Here is a 16,963-nt window from a genome sequence, read left to right as displayed (position 1 = left end):
ACAAGTCTTAACAAACTTTTAAAAATCAAAATCATAACAAGTATCTTCTCAGCTCACAATGGAATAAAACTGAAAATCAATAACAAGAGGAACTTTGGAAACTGTACAAATACATGGAAATTAAACAACATGCTCCTAACAATTGGGTCAATAAAGATATTCAGAAGGAAATAAAAAAATTTCATGAAGCAAATGAAAATGGAAACATGTTCTTTCTGCCCATGGATGCCGCCGAGGAAGCATTGTAAAGTCTCTCATCCCCCTGCCGTCATGTCTAAGTCAGAATCTCCTAAAGAGCCCTAACAGCTGAGGAAGCTCTTCATTGGAGGATTGAGTTTTGAAACAACCAACGAGAGCCTGAGGAGCCATTTTGAGCAATGGGGAATTCACGGGCTGAGTGTTAATGAGAGATCCAAACACCAAGCTCTCCAGGGGCTTTGGGTTTGTCACATATACCACTGTGGAGGAGGTGGATGCAGCCATGAATGCGAGGCCACACGAGGTCGACGGAAGAGTTGTGGAACCAAAGAGAGCTGTCTCAAGAGAAGATTCTCAAAGACCAGGTGCCCACTTAACTGTGAAAAAGATATTTGTTGGTGGTATTAAAGAAGACACTGAAGAACATCACCTAAGAGATTATTTTGAACTGTGTGGAAAAATGGAACTGATTGAAATAATAACTGACCGAGGCAGTGGCAAGAAGAGGGGCTTTGCCTTTGTAACCTTTGACGACTATGACTCCATGGATAAGACTGTCATTCAGAAATGCTATACTGTGAATGGCCACAACTGTGAAGTTAGGAAAGCCCTGTCAAAGCAAGAGATGTCTAGTGCTTCATCCAGCCAAAGAGGTCGAAGTGGTTCTGGAAACTTTGGTGGTGGTCATGGAGGTAGTTTTTGGAATGACAACTTTGGTCATGGAGGAAACTTCAATGGTTGTGGAGATGGCTATAATGGATTTGGTAATGATGGAAGCAATTTTGGAAGTGGTAGAAGCTGTAATGATTTTGGCAGTTACAACAATCAGTCTTCAAATTTTGGACCCATGAAGGCAGGAGACTTTGGAGGCAGAAACTCTGGCCCCTATGGTGGTGGAGGCCAATACTTTGCCAAACCATGAAACCAAGGTGGCTACGGTGGTTCCAGTAGCAGCAGAGCTATGGCAGTGGCGGAAGATTTTAATTACTGCCAGGAAACAAATCTTAGCAGGAGAGGAGAGCCAGGGAAGTGACAGGGAAGCTACAGGTTACAAAAGATTTGTGAACTCAGCCAAGCACAGTGGTGGCAGGGCCTAGCTACTATAAAGAAGACATGTTTGAGACAAATACTCATGTGTATGGGCAAAAAAACTTGAGGAGGACTGTATTTGTGACTAATTGTATAACAGGTTATTTTAGTTTCTGTTCTGCGGAAAGTGTAAAGCATTCCAACAAAGGGTTTTAATGTAGTTTTTTTTTTTTTTTTTGAGATGGAGTCTCGCTGTGTTGCCCAGGCTGGAGTGCAGTGGCTCGATTTCGGCTCACTGCAACCTCCACCTCCTGGGTTCACGCCATTCTCCTGCCTCAGCCTCCCAAGTAGCTGGGACTACAGGCACCAGTCACTACGCCGGGCTAATTTTTTGTATTTTTAGTAGAGACAGGGTTTCACCGTGTTAGCCAGGATGGTTTCGATCTCCTGACCTCGTGATCCGCCTGCCTCGGCCTCCCAAAGTGCTGGGATTACAGGCATGAGCCACCACACCCGGCCAGTTTTTTTTTTTTTCTTTTCCACCCATGCTGTTGATTGCTAAATATAATGGTCTGATTGTGATGCTGAATAAATGTGTCTTTTAAAAAAACATGCTAAGTTAGTCTACTCTGAAGCCATCTTGGTAAATTTCCCCAACAGTGTGAAGTTAGAATTCCTTCAGGGTGATACCAGGTTCTATTTGGAATTTATATACAACCTGCTTGGGTGAAGAAGCCACTGTCTTCAGAAACCTTGGTGTAGTTGAACTGACAGTTACTGTTGTGACCTGAAGTTCACCATTAAAAGGGATTGCCCAAGCAAAATCATGGAATTATTGGTTATAAAAATGATTGTTGGGGGCTGGGCACGGTGGCTCAGGCCTGTAATCCCAGCACTTTGGGAGGCCAAGGCGGGCGGATCACCAGGTCAGGAGATCGAGACTATCCTGGCCTACATTGTGAAACACCATCTCTATTAAAAATACAAAAAATTAGCCAGGCGTGGTGGTGGGTGCCTGTAGTCCCAGCTACTTGGGAGGCTGAGGCAGGAGAATGGCGTGAACCCAGGAGGCAGAGGTTGCAGTGAGCCGAGATTGCACCACTGCACTCCAGCCTGGGCGACAGAGCGAGACTCTGTCTCAAAAAAAAAAAAAAAAAAGTTTGTTGGCACATCCTATGCAGTGTATCTAAATTGAATAATGGTACCAGATAAAATTATAGATGGGAATAAAGCTTGTGTATCATCCATTGTCATGTGTAATCAATAACCCATTTAATTCTCTTGGGAAAAAAAAAAAGAAAACACAACTTACCAAAACCAATGGGATACTGCAAAGCATTGCTAAGAGAGAAGTTTATAGCAATAAATGCCTACACCAGAAAAGTAGAAAGATTTCAAATAACCAATTATGCACCTCAATAAACTAGAAAAGCAAGAGCAAACCAGACTCAAAATTAGTAAAAGTAAAGAAAAGATAAAGATCAGAGCAGAACAAAATGAATAGGGACAAAAAAAAGAAAAAAAGAATCAACTAAACAAAAAGTTGGCTTTTGAAAAGATAAACAAAATTCATAAACTGCTGGCTAGACTAAGAAAAAAAGAGAGAAGACCCAAACAAACACAATCAGAAACCAGAAGACCTTACAACTGTTACCACAACAATATAAAGATCACTGACAACTATTACAAACAATGACCAATGATGTGGCTAACAAACTGCAAAACCTAAAGAATATGAATAAGTTCTTGGGCAAACACAACCTACCAAGATTGAACAAGGAAGAAATAAAAAACCTGAAAAGAACAATAATGGATAATGAGATTGAATCAGTAATAAAAGGTTTTTCAGTAAAGGGAAGACCAGGACTGGATGGCTTTACTACCAAACCTGTAAAGAACTAACGCCAATTCTCAAATTGTTGCAAAAATAGAGGATGGAATTCTTTCTAAATCATTCTACAAGGACAGCATTACCCTGATATCAAAACCAGAAAAGGATACAACAATAGCAACAACAACAAAAACCAGTGGTATGAAACACACTGGTTTTGGTAAATTGTGTTTCCATTTTCATTTGCTTCAAGAAATTTTTTTATTTCCTTCTGAATATCTTTATGGACCCAATTGTCATTTAGGAGCATGTTGTTTAATTTCCATGTATGTGTGCAGTTAAAAAAAAAAAGGAAACAGACCAATATCCCATAGATGCAAAACTCCTTAATAAAATACTAGCAAAACAAATCAAACAACACATCAAAAATATAAGACATCATAATCAAGTGGGATTTATCTCAGGGATGCAAAGGTGTTTTAATACAGGCAAGTCAATAAATGTGATACATCACATCAACAGAATAAAAGACAAAAACCATATGATAATCTCAATAGATGCAAAAAATCATTTTATAAAATTCAACATGTCTTCATGGTTAAAAACTCTCAACAAATTAGGCACTGATGGAACATACTTCAACATAATAAGGCCATATATGACAAACCTACACCTAACTTTACATTAAATGAGGAAAAGCTAAAAGCCTATTCTCTAAGAACTGGAACAAAACAAGGATGTCCACCTTTCACCACTCTTATTCAACATAGTACTGGAAGCCCTAGCTAGACCAATCAAAAAACAGAAAAATAAAAGGCATCTAAGTTAGAAAAGAGGAAGTCATCTTCCTTTGCAAATGACATAATCTTATATCACGAAAAACCTGAAGAATCCACCAAAAAACTCTTAGAACTGATAAACAGATTCAGTAAAGTTGTAGGATACAAAATCAACATACAAAAATCAGTAGTGTTTCTATACACCAATAACAAACTAGCCGAAAAGGAAATCAAAAAAGCAATCCCACTTACGATAGCTACAAAAAATAAAATACCTAGGAATGAATTTAATGAAAGACCACTACAACAAAAACCACTGATGAAAGAGATTGAAGAGGACACAAACAAATGGAAAGACATCCCATGCTCATGGATCAGAAGAATTACTATTGTTAAAATGGCCATACTACACAAAACAATCTATAGATTTAATGCATTCCCTATCAAAATACCAGTGACATTCTTCACATAAATAGAAAAGAATTCTAAAATTTGTATGGAACCACAAAAGACCTCAAATAGCCAAAGCAATCCTAAGCAAAAAGAACAAAGCTGGAAGCATCATACTACCTTACTTCAAAATATACTACAAAGCTATAGTAACCCAAACAGCATAGTATTAGTATAAAAATCGATACATAGGCCAAGGGAACAGAACAGAGAACCCAGAAATAAATCCACATATTTACAGCCAATTGATTTTTGACTAAAGTGCCATGAACATACACTGGGGAAAGAACACCTTCTTCAATAAATGGTGCTGGGGAAACTGGATATCCACATGCAGAAGGATGAAACTAGACCCTTGTCTCTCACCATATACAAAAGTCAACTTAAAATGGATTAAAGACTTAAAGATAAGATCCAAAAGAAAACATAGGGGAAATTCTGTAGGACATTGGACTACGTGAAGATTTTATGGATGAGCCTTTATTTTTTAATTTATTAAATTTTGTAGATCTGGGGTCTCCTCTGTTGTCCAGGCTGGAGTGCAGTGGCATGATCATGGCTCACTGCAGCCTTAAGCTCCTGGGCTTGTGTGATCCTTCCACCTCAGACTCTTGAGTAGATGAGACTACAGGCGCACAACACCATGCTCAGCTAATTTTTTTTTTTTTTTTTTTTTTTGTAGAGACAGGATCTCACTATGTTGCACAGGCTGGTCTCAAACTCCTGTCCCCAAGTGATCTTCCCACCTCAGCCTCCTGAGCCACTAGGATTACAGGCATGAGCCACCATGCCCTGCTGTAACTAAGACTTTAAAAGCATGGGCAACAAAAACAAAAACAGACAGAAAAGACTATATTAAGCTAAAAAGGTTCTGCACTGCAAAAGAAACAATTGATAAAGAGGCAACTTGTACAATGGGAGAAAATATTTGCAAACTATTCATCTGACAAGGAACTGATATCTAGAATATACAAGGAACTCAACTCAACAGCAACAAAACAAAACAAAACAAAAGCCAGTAATCCCATTAAAAAGCGGGCAACAGATGTGAATAGACATTTCTCATAAGAAGACATATAAATGGCCTACAGACATGTGAAAAAATGTTCAACGTTGCTAATCATTAGGGAAATGCAAATCAAAACCACAATCAGATATCATCTCACCCCAGTTAGAATGGTTATTGTCAAAAAGACAAAAAATAACAAGTGCTGATGATGATGTGGAAAAAGGGACTCATACACTGTTGGTGAAAATGTCAATTAGTACAGCCATTATGGAAAACAGCATAGAGGTTTCTCAAAAAATTAAAAATTGAAGTACCATATGATCCAGTAATCCCACTACTGGGAATGTATTCAAAGGAAAAGAAATCAGTATATCAAAGGAATACCTGCACCTCCATGTTTATTTCAGCACTATTCAGAATAGCCAAGATACAGAATCGACCTAAGTGTCCATGAATAAATAAAGAAAATATGGTATATATACAATGGAATACTATTCAGCCATAAAAAGAATAAAAGCATGTAATTTGCAGTAACACGGATGGAACTGGAGGACATTATGTTAAGAGAAATAAACCAGGCACAGAAAGACAGTTATTGCATGTTCTCACTGCATATGTGGGAACTAAAAGTTGATCTCATGGAGGTAGAGATTAGAATGATGGTTACCAGAGGCTGGGAAAAGGTAGAGGTATGAAAAGAGGTTGGTTAATGGATGAAAACATACAGTTAGAGAGAAGGAATAAGTTCTAGTGTTTGATAGCACAGTGGGGTGACTATAGTTACTAATAACTTATTGTCTATTTCAAAACATCTACCAGAGAAGATTTGAAATGTTCCCAACACAAAAAAATGATAAATATTCGAAGTGATGGATATTTTAAACACCCTGACTTGATCATTACACATTATATGCATGTATCAAAATATCACATGTACCCAATGAATATGTACAGTTATTGTGTATCAATTAAATCAGGAAGAAAAGACCATGGGTGTAGCAGGTATACAGAAAGTAACTGGTAGGTCTGTGTGGCCAGACACAAAACACCATACACTTCCCTCCCCAGACTCTTTTCTCATGTGAAGCAAAAGCTTTAAACTTCTGGAAGAGTGGCAGCAAAGACTGTTGCCCAAAGCCCAGGAAAAGATGCATTATGGAGAGGGGTTAGGGGTATAAGAAAAGGCTATCTCTGGGGAGATGCACAAAATCATCTTGGACCTAACATCTCAAACTGATATAAGGCAGAGGTTTTCTACCACTAGGAAAGGCGAAGAAAACTCTTGTTCAAGATCAACTATTATTAATACAAAGCAGAATTTGGCTGCCACAAGACGGAGTGACAGGAATGCAGAGAGAGGCCCAATTTCAGAGGCCCTCCCTAAGACATAGACTGGAGTAGAACAACAGATAAATCCATCTACCCTGAACACAAACCTGGCAAAAAGTAACAAGCAACAGTAGTCTAAGACTGGGGATGGGGAAAATCCATGGTGAGAGATCTTCCCTGTGGTACAGGCATTCAGGAAAGCTGAAAGCTGATGGTAGAACAATAAACCTGAGAGAAGACTCTGGCATACCAGTGTCCACTCTAGGCACAAGGCAAAGGCGGCCCACCAATGGAAGAATTAGAAGCCTGTGGTGCACTGATGGTAACCATAGCAACAACAAAACCTAAACCCAGCTCAACTCCTGACAGATCGAGTCAATTCTCCATATTAATGGCCTTACACAAGAAGAGTCATTCTCATTTTCCACTGTTAACAATATTTTAACAATATTTACCCCAGGTCTCTACTGTTCATGCAAAGTCTGGCATTCACTCAAAAATTACATCACACACACACACAGACACACACACACACACACACACACACACACACACACTACCTACGATCAAGAAACAATGAAGTCAACATCCAATACCCAGATGTTGAAACTAGCATACAGGAATTTTAAAATAACTATGATTAATATGTGAAAGGATATAGTAGAAAAGGTAGCATGTATAAAAGATGGGGAATTTCTCCCATCTTTTTGAGAAGAAGAAAGATGTATAAAAGATAAGGAATTTCTCCCATCTTTTTCAGAAGAAGAAGCATGTATAAAAGATAGGGAATTTCTCCCATCTTTTTCAGAAGAAGACATCTTTCTTCTGAAATTCCCCATCTTTTATACATGCTACCTTTTCTACTATATCCTTTCACATATTAATCATAGTTATTGTAAAGTTCCTGCATGCTAGTTTCAACATCTGTGTACTGCTAGAAATTAAAACCTAATATTGGCCAGGCACGGTGGCTCATGCCTATAATCCCAGCACTTTGGGAGGCTGAGGCAGGTAGATGATCTGAGGTCAGAAGTTCGAGACCAGCCTGGCCAACATGGTGAAACCCCTTCTCTACTAAAAATACAAAAATTAGCCAGGTGTGATGGTGGGTGACTATAATCCCAGCTACCTGGGAGGCTGAGGCACGGGTGCTTGAATCTGGGAGGCAGAGGTTGCAGTGAGCCGAATCACGCCATTGCACTCCCTCCTGGGTAACAAGAGCGAAACTCCATCTCAAAACAAAAACAAAAACAAAAACAAAAACAAAAACAAAAACCAAACAAACAAAAAAAACCAAAAACAAAACTAATAGTGGAGATAAAAAATGCTTTCAACATACTCCTTAGTAGAAGTATGAACCCAGCTAGAAAGAATCAATTAACTGGAAGATCTGTCAACAGAAATTACCCAAACAAAAATACAGAAAGAAAGAAGAAGAGTGGGAGAATAAAATCAGAACAGGGCATTCAAGAGATGTGGAATTATATCAAACATAATAATGTACATATAATTGGAGTCCCAAAAGGATAAGAGAAAGAAAATGGGGAAGAAGAAATATTTGGAGACATAATGAATGGCCAAGAATTTTCCAAAAATAGTGAATGACAGTAAATCACAGATCCAAGCTCAAACAACCCAAAAAGGATATACACCAAACAAACAAACAAACAAAGAAAACCTTACACATGCCTAGATACATCATAATCAACCTGCTAAAAATCTAAAATAAAGAGAAAATTTTGAAGGCAGCTGGGGAAAAAGGATGAGGAACACATTATATACAGCAAAACAAAGAGACTACTTAGTGTAGACTTTTCATCAGAAACTATACAAGCCAAAAAAGAAATGAAGCAACATTTTTAAAGTACTGAAGAAAAAATAAAAACCACTGTCAACTTAGAGTTCTATACACAAAGAAAAGTTTTTGAAAAGGAAAGCAAAGACATTTTCATAAAAACAATAGGTGAGAAAATTCACTGACAGCTTACTTGCTTTGTAATAATAGTTAAAGTTCTTCAGGCAGAAGGATTACGTTACCACATAGAAATTTGGATCTACACAATCGACTGAAGAGCTCTGGGAAGGATAAATGAATACTATGTAGCAATAAAAAGGAACAGCTAACTAATACATAACAACATGGATGAATCTCAACATAACGACTGACTAAAAAAAAGCAGACAAAGCCAAAACATATTGTATGGTCAATATATAAAATTCTAAAAACACCAAATAACGTCTAGCAACAGAAAGTAGAACAGTGGTTTCCTGTGGGCTGAGGAAACATACACTCACCATACAATCCAACAGTTTTATTCTTGGTTATTTACCCAGGAGAACTGAATGCATGTGCCCTCATAATACCTGTATGTGCACGGTTATACCAAATTTATTAGCTATATTCTTAATATCCAAAAACTAGAAACCACCCAAATGTCTATTAGTTTGTGAGTGAATAAACAAATTGTGCTACATCTATGCAATGGAATACTACTCAGTAATAAAAAAGAATAAAGTACTGATACGTGCAACAACATGGATGAATAATAAAAAAGACTTTGTACTAAGTAAAAGAAACCAGACTTGAAAGTCTATACTTCCTATACTAAGCAATTCTATTTTTATGGCATTCTGGAAAAGGCAAAACTATAGGAACGGAAATCAGATCTGTGGTTGTCTGAGGTTGGATGCAGGTAAAAGGATTGGCTACTAAAAGGTACAGGGAACTTGCCAGGGTAATGGAAATGTTCTATATTTTGAGTGTGTTGCTTACACACTCAATACGTTTGTGGAATTTGTAAAACAGGGCACCTCTGAAGGATTAGTTTTACTGTATATAAATTATACTTCAGCAAACTGGTTTTAAAAATTAGGCATCCAAAATAGGAAAGCAAATCTCTCAAATTTTCCAGTGATATGTAAAATTATACCACACTCAATCCAGTACTTTAAAACATTTCACTAAATATAAAGATAAATGTTTAGAAACCTCTTCTAAAGTTTCTTATTTTATAGCAAAAGCCAAACTGTTGGGGAAATAGCTGAATTAATACTCAGAAACCAGTAAAGTGATAAACTAAAATCCTTTCTCATATTGACAGATTCCATTGATAGACACCTGGGAAACACTCCTGAACATTCCTGAAAATTTGAAGAAACAAGTATTAGATCAATTTATGCAGTGTTGTAATTATGTAAGTTTGCTATTTATGTGGATTAAAAAACAGCAGCTATTTCTAACATGTTTGAACTTGTGGTACTTTATAGATTCTGTCTCAGAATCTTTTGAAATACATGAAGAACTCTTTTTAAGGGGATATAAATGGAAAAATGTATGGGAGCAGATATATTCACAACTGAAATGATCTTCAATAGAAGGAATAATTTATGGAAAAATTATGGAAGTGTAACTACTGAGGAAAAGGCTGCTTTAACTCAAATAAATATAAACAGCCTGGAGTCAGAGAGACCATCACAAACAAAATTTATTCACCAAGTAATTACTATGCAAGAAATGTGCATAATTTGAAGCCAAAGTATGCAAGATGTACCCATGTAGTTAGTTTTAGAAATATGAGTCTTTTAAAATATTATAGAATCTTTGCAATAAATGAAACTGGAAAATGCCATAAAATTCTACTGTTCCACACGAAAAGTGCTGTTTGGCAAGTGGTAAAGTATGTAAAGAGTACTTAAAGAGTTGCTCAACTTTAAGATAAGTGTTCCAAAGTTATTTTTTATGACAATGTCAATGGTATGCTACCAGCAGATTAAAAAAATGAATGCACACGCAACGTGTCTCTTTAAGTACTATTTTTAAATGAATTAAATGGTAACTTTTAAAAACATTGTGCAATGGAGAAGGCATTTTGAAGAGATTTAATTTAGAAATTTTTCCATTGTTATGTGATTTTTGCTACCCCAAATAATGAAAATGTGACATATATTAAAATCTGTTATATCTGAACACTTGAAACACTTGGAAGCATAAATATCTAAGCTGTTAAAAATTTTTCCAAATCAAGAGTTTTATGGATTTTAAACCCATTGTTAAAAGAAAAACTAATTCACATTAGAAAGAGACTTACTGTCCAAATTTCAATAAAACTTTGGAATATTTCATAGATAAGTAAGAAAAATGAGAATAATAATTTAGTTAACACAATCAGTGATTAACTTCTGTTAGACTTTTGATTTTTTTTCTTATAGCACACATTTTATTCTTTCATAAGAAAAATGATCTCCCACAACAATGTGTATATGTCTGAATGGGTTGAGGGATTGGAAACATTGTTTTATTAATATATGTTTAGTGAAAATAAATAGCTCTCAAATTATGTCCTATCACTTATGGTGTTTATATAGATGCTAAAATACTTTTGTCACAAAAGAGTTTCTGTTTTTTCCCCTGTAATTATTACTAATGGGATAATATTGGCTTATATAAAATAAATTGGAAATTTTACTTTAATTTTAAAAAATTGGGAATGGTTATCCACCACACATATCAGCTCACCAGCACAAGTGGACCATAGATAAGTACAGAGCAAACTAGGGGATACTATTGTCTATCTTTAACCTCTGACTGTGCTCACTCCTACCACGGTTCGGGTCACATAGATGGTAAGTTTTCAAAAGTACTGCTACAACTGGTGGTAGTCTCTTCTATTCCTTTAAAGAAAGCAAACAAATAAAAAATGATAAAAACCCTCACCATTTATGATATAATCAATAACAATAAATAAAAATATATACTAGATAAAATAATAAATAGAGAAGTACAGTGAAAATAGGAATTGTTGGGATTCAGAAAATGATAACTCAAAGTATGGCACTTTGGCATGCTGAGTACTTTGAACAAAAGGTGATTGAAAATCCCTTAAAAGCAAAGTCTCTCTCTGAACTTCTCATGCCCTCCTTTCTCCTTGCTCCCTTTTCTCCCCCAAGGGCAAGCCATAGAAACTAGAATTTCTCTTCCCCAAGGTGGATCATAGAAACTAGAACCCCTCTCTCCAAAGCCAGCCATAAAACCTAGAAATAGTATTCTAACATTCTCCCATTTTTCTGTGTAAGAGCTGACCATACAGAAATTCTCTGACCTACTCTGTCTGCAAGTAGATTATAAGACCCTCATTCTAAAAGGGGTCTTGCACTATCCCTGGAAAAAGGAATGCCACACAGAGAGACCAAGTAGAATCTTAACAGGCAGGCTTTCCTGGGTTTCCTCATTCAGTCTGTTGCTGTAAGATCATTCCCTTTTTGTCCAGTCGCATTTCTGCACGGCTATCCACTCTGCATCAAATCTAGGCATAAAAATGGACAGTTTTCCTTTGGATCTTTGGGTCTTCATTCTGAAGACTCCTGTGTCATGTAAAACTCTGATTAGATAAATATGTTATGCTTTTCATGTTAACCTGTCTTTTGTTAAAGGAGTGTCAGCTGTGACCCTTATGATGGGTGAGAAAAGACATCACGCCCTTTACCCACTACAGTGACATAAATATCACACATTATGTCTTCTGAATTTTCTAATAGCTTTATTGAGATATACTTAACATACCATAGTTAAGGCACACAGCTCAATGTTTTTTAGTATATTTACAGAGTCATGAAATCATCACCAAAATCTAATTTTAGAATATTTCCATCATCCCAAGATGAAACTCTGCTGATTAGCAATCACTCCCTGGTACCTTTCTTTACCCGATCTTATCCCTGCACAGCCATTAATCTACCTCTGTTTCTATAGATTTGCTCATTCTGTACCTTTCCATATGAATGGAGTCACGCAATATGTGGTCTTTGTGTCTGGCTTCTTTCACTCAGCATAATGTTTTTGAGGTTCATCCATGTTGTCACATGTATTAGTACTTTGTTTCTTTTCTTGCCGAATAGTAGTCTATTGTATGGTTATATCACATTCTGTTTATCCATCCATCAGTTGATGGACCTTTGGGATGTTTCCACTTTTTCTTATTTTTTTTTAAATTGACAAATAAAAATGGTATACATTTATGATGTACAATGTGATGTGTTGATATATGTTTACACTGTGGAATGAGTAAATCAAGCTAATTTACATATCCATCACTTCACATGCTTATCATATTTTGTGATACCATCTGAATTTTTGTATTACATCTCTTTCTGCTATATCAGCCAAAAAACAGATTCTAAATAAATTGATCTTAAAACCAGATGATCAAATCATTATCTCAAAGGGTTAAACAATGAGTTTAACAAAATTAAGCTTATTGCTCTCAGAAGTTATACATGATCAATAAAACCTTATGCTGTTAATTGGTTTTTGTGCTGTTAATAAATAAAATTAATTAGTTTATTAATATTATTTTTAAGTTTATCATATATTTAATAATAAATATGAATATTTAAATTTATAAATGTATCTATTGATAAATACTTACAAATTTTAAAATAAATATTTTTATCATATCTTTGCTTATCTTTTGTATATCATAATTATATAATATACTAGTACAGTAGTACATGTACAAAGCTTATACATGTACTACTGTACTAGTATATTATGTAGTTATAATTGGGTATATACATATAAATATACATATACTCAGTATGTATGCCCTAAATTTTTATCTATGGGGTACAAAATTTTAAAAAATAGGTTGGAAACAGATGTCTCATAAAAGTAACAAATAATTACAAAGCCTTTGTAGTCCAACAGTATCTGGCAAAGCACTAGATGTGCAGTAAGTATTTAAACTACACTGACACTGTGTTAGTCCATTCTCATGCTGATATAAGAACATACCTGAGACTGGGTAATTTATAAAGGAAAAATGTTTAATTGACTCACAGTTCCTCAGGGCTAAGGAGGCCTCAGGAAACTTATAATCATGATGGAAGGGGAAGCAAACATGTCCTTCTTTACAAGGCAGCAGGAGAGAGAAGAATGAGAGCTGAGCAAAGGGGTAAGCTCCCTATAAAACCATCAGATCTCATGATAACTTACTCTTTTCATGAGAATAGCATTCAATTACCTCCTACCCGGGAATTATGGCAAGTACAATTCCAGTTGAGATTTGGGTGGGGACACAGCCAAACCATATCACTCACTAACCACCCCTGAATGCAAAGGTGGCCATTTATCTAAGTTTTGTGTGTACGTGTATTTCTCCCTTGCCATATGCATTTTGGTGAATAGTTCTGTGTGAGTATATCTGTGTAGGATACAATGACAGAAACAGTAGTACTTTGTGTCTGAGAGTGCAGTTTCTGAATTTAGACCACCTGAATCTCTATCTTAGCTCCATAATTTATTAGCTATGTGACCTTGAGTAGATTACCATCTTTTCCATGTCCTAGTTTTCTTATACACAAAATCGGGACAACAGTACCTACCTACCTCACAGGTTTGTGGTGAAGGTTAAATAAGTTAATATGAGCAAAGTCACTATACCTAGGTCTGACACATGGAAAATGCTCATTGTAGTTTGGCCACCAGAGCTATGGACAGACACACACACACACACACACACACACACACACACACACACACACACACGGGTGAGTATATCTGGATATGTTTATTTTTCTATGTCAATATATATCTGTTCCTCAATATGTATTTATACTGAATAATAATAATAATGATAGCCAACACTTACTGAACATGAGTTCTAGGCATTAGTTTAAGCACTTTACATATATTATCTTGTTCACCTTCAGAAAAAAACATGACATAACATTACATAACATGCTTTGATTATTCTCATTTTACAGATTAGAAAACTAAGGTCCAAAAAGGTTAAGTAACTTACAACTAAATTCACACAGCTAGCATATGACAGAGCCACAAAGCCGGACTTTTTAAGTCACTACTTATCACCTCCCCATTCATTTAATAATATTATTTAATATTACTCTTATAGTCTATAATATCATAATTTGTATGGTGCTTACTATTTCATCAAATATTTTCAAATACATTGGGTCTCATAGCGAGCCTGTGAAATGAGAAGTGCAATATTATTATTCTCATTTTTACAGGAAAGAAAATTGATAGAACTGAACCATGGGTGTCCTTTAGTGGAAGCGTTTCTATGTTACAAATATCTGGGGTACCTCTGTACATAGAGTCACATCATAAATGAACTGAGTACCTATAATGTGTCAAGCTCAGACATTAGTGCTGGGGATATAAGCTACAGACCTCCCCTGGAAGCATCATAGCCTAGGAAGAGAGACCAGTGTGGTAACCAAGAACCAAGAATCACGGTACACAATATGTAGTCTCTAAGGGAGACATGAAAGGAGTGCTTATGGAGCACAGAAGGAGGGGCCATCTGTGCCAGGGAGGTCTTAGAAAAGGCAAAGGGGTGGGGGAGGGGGAGGCTTTGATGGAAGAAAGAATGTGTGTGTGTGAATGTGAATCCATGTCTGTGTCTATGACAGTGTGGCTAGGCATCACTAAGTATGGATCTGAGTGTGTACCTGTTTATACAGGCTTACTTCTGTAAGCATTAATTTTTGTGTATGCTGGCTGCTGGTATAGAATGAGTAAGCCTGAACATAAAAGGGAATTTGTCTGGTATCACACACACCATAGCAGAATTGGACCTGCCCTGATAGGCACACCCTGTCATGACTCCCCAACACCAGGGGAACCAGAGATGCTGGTCCTTTCCCACTGTAGCAGCTGCCCACTCTAGAGCTATGGTGATTAGACCCACCAGTTTTTTTCAATCCATCAGTATGGATGTGTGGTGGTCTAATAGAGCCAGCCAGCTTGTATGATGAAGGGGGAGGAGGTACAGGTGTCTGTGGGTGTGCATCTGTGTGCACACTTCTGGTTGTGTGTGAATGCTTAGCATTGGCTGTTCCTAACTAGAGTGAGAAAACCTCCCTTCTCCCTTCATTGTCACCACCTTGGGGTGTTTATCCACTCACCCATTTCCATTGCCACCTGTATGGGACCGGCTTCCATCTTCACTTTAACGTTCTGGGGATATCTAAAATATACCTCTGTGCTGGGGTTAGGCAGAAGCAAGGCTGGGGAGTGTTGGTGCCCTTATTTGTTGGAGGCACTCCCTCCTTTCCCCGACCCCTGCCCCATTGTGGTCCAGGAATCTCTCAAAGGAGCAAAAATGTGGGCAAAGGCAAATAGTACTTGTGGAAGCCATGAAAAACCCGGAGGGTCACTCCCAGGGGTGGGCTGCTCAATGTGCCTCCCCTGGTGATAAAATCTGCTTTTAGGGCAAAATTAAGGAAGACAAGTGAGGACTCCTCTCTCCACAAATGTTCCCCTAGGAACTGGCGGGGTGGGAGTAAGGCTGTAATGCTCTTTTATTTCTTTAAGCTTGTATGATCAAAACAAGCTAAAATAATCACAAATAATATGTTATTGATATTAACTATGAGTATCTTCATAAAGTGGCAAAATAATTGAACTAGATTTTATTTTTTATTATAAGGTATACAAATTCAGGGCCATGGGATCATGTAAGGCAAAGGCATTATGTACTGGGACACACTGGTAATTTGTGTTTACATCTTGGCACAAGCACTGCCACGCAGTACAATATATTAGCATGTTAAGATGGGCAAGAATGAAGTGCAATAATCAACACATGTAGCATGTCATATTTCAGCTTGAATGAATGAGTGGGTGGAGAGAAAAACAAACATACAGAAAAGTAGAATTATCTCATGTCGTGGTCCGTGAATATGTGGATTCTCTTTCTAGTTCCACCAATGGCTTAATCTATTGAAAGGTTCTTACCATCTATTGATAAGTTAGTCTCATAGCAGATCATTTCTCAAAAATGTTAATATGCTTAATCAAACCTTACTGAAGTATCTTTTAAAATGTAAATGATCTCTAATAAATGTTGGCTGTTGCATGTCTAAATACTTTATTGCAGCATCTTATATAGTATATATTTCCATGTTCTGGACACAAATATTTTTCTAAATATTAAGGGAAAGTGGTGGCTTTGTAATATGCCAGGGGAATTCTTTGATAGTCAATATATTGTTTATTTGTACTTAAATATTTCATCAATAATCTGGAAAAGAGAAATAGCCTGACTACGGCTAGATACTGTTTAGAGGCTAAGATTTCTATCATGAACTGCTTTTCAATTGTTATATTTTATGGCACAGATTCAGTGGGAATCTGATCTGCTAAAATATTTGGGCTGTGAAAACTCCCACACTGTGACAGATGTCAAGTCCAATTAAGTGACTCATGTCCAGGTTTCTGTCCAATAGGATTTCCCATTAAATATCAATTTAGGGGAAAAAAATTCCATCCCCCTTCCTAAGCCTTTATCTCTTCCACCATCTCCAGGCTGAATC

The 16,963-nt window shown here is 36.7% G+C and overlaps 1 pseudogene; it reads left to right on the top strand.

Annotated features, from left to right (window-relative positions):
- On the top strand, window positions 212–1,460 carry HNRNPA1P43 (heterogeneous nuclear ribonucleoprotein A1 pseudogene 43; annotated as a pseudogene).

The sequence above is a fragment of the Homo sapiens genome, chromosome 1 (genome assembly GCF_000001405.40).
Source record: "Homo sapiens chromosome 1, GRCh38.p14 Primary Assembly".
Taxonomy (NCBI): Eukaryota; Metazoa; Chordata; class Mammalia; order Primates; family Hominidae; genus Homo; species Homo sapiens.
The sequence above is the reverse complement of the archived record's forward strand: the minus strand, read 5'-3'. Positions and strand labels throughout refer to the sequence as shown.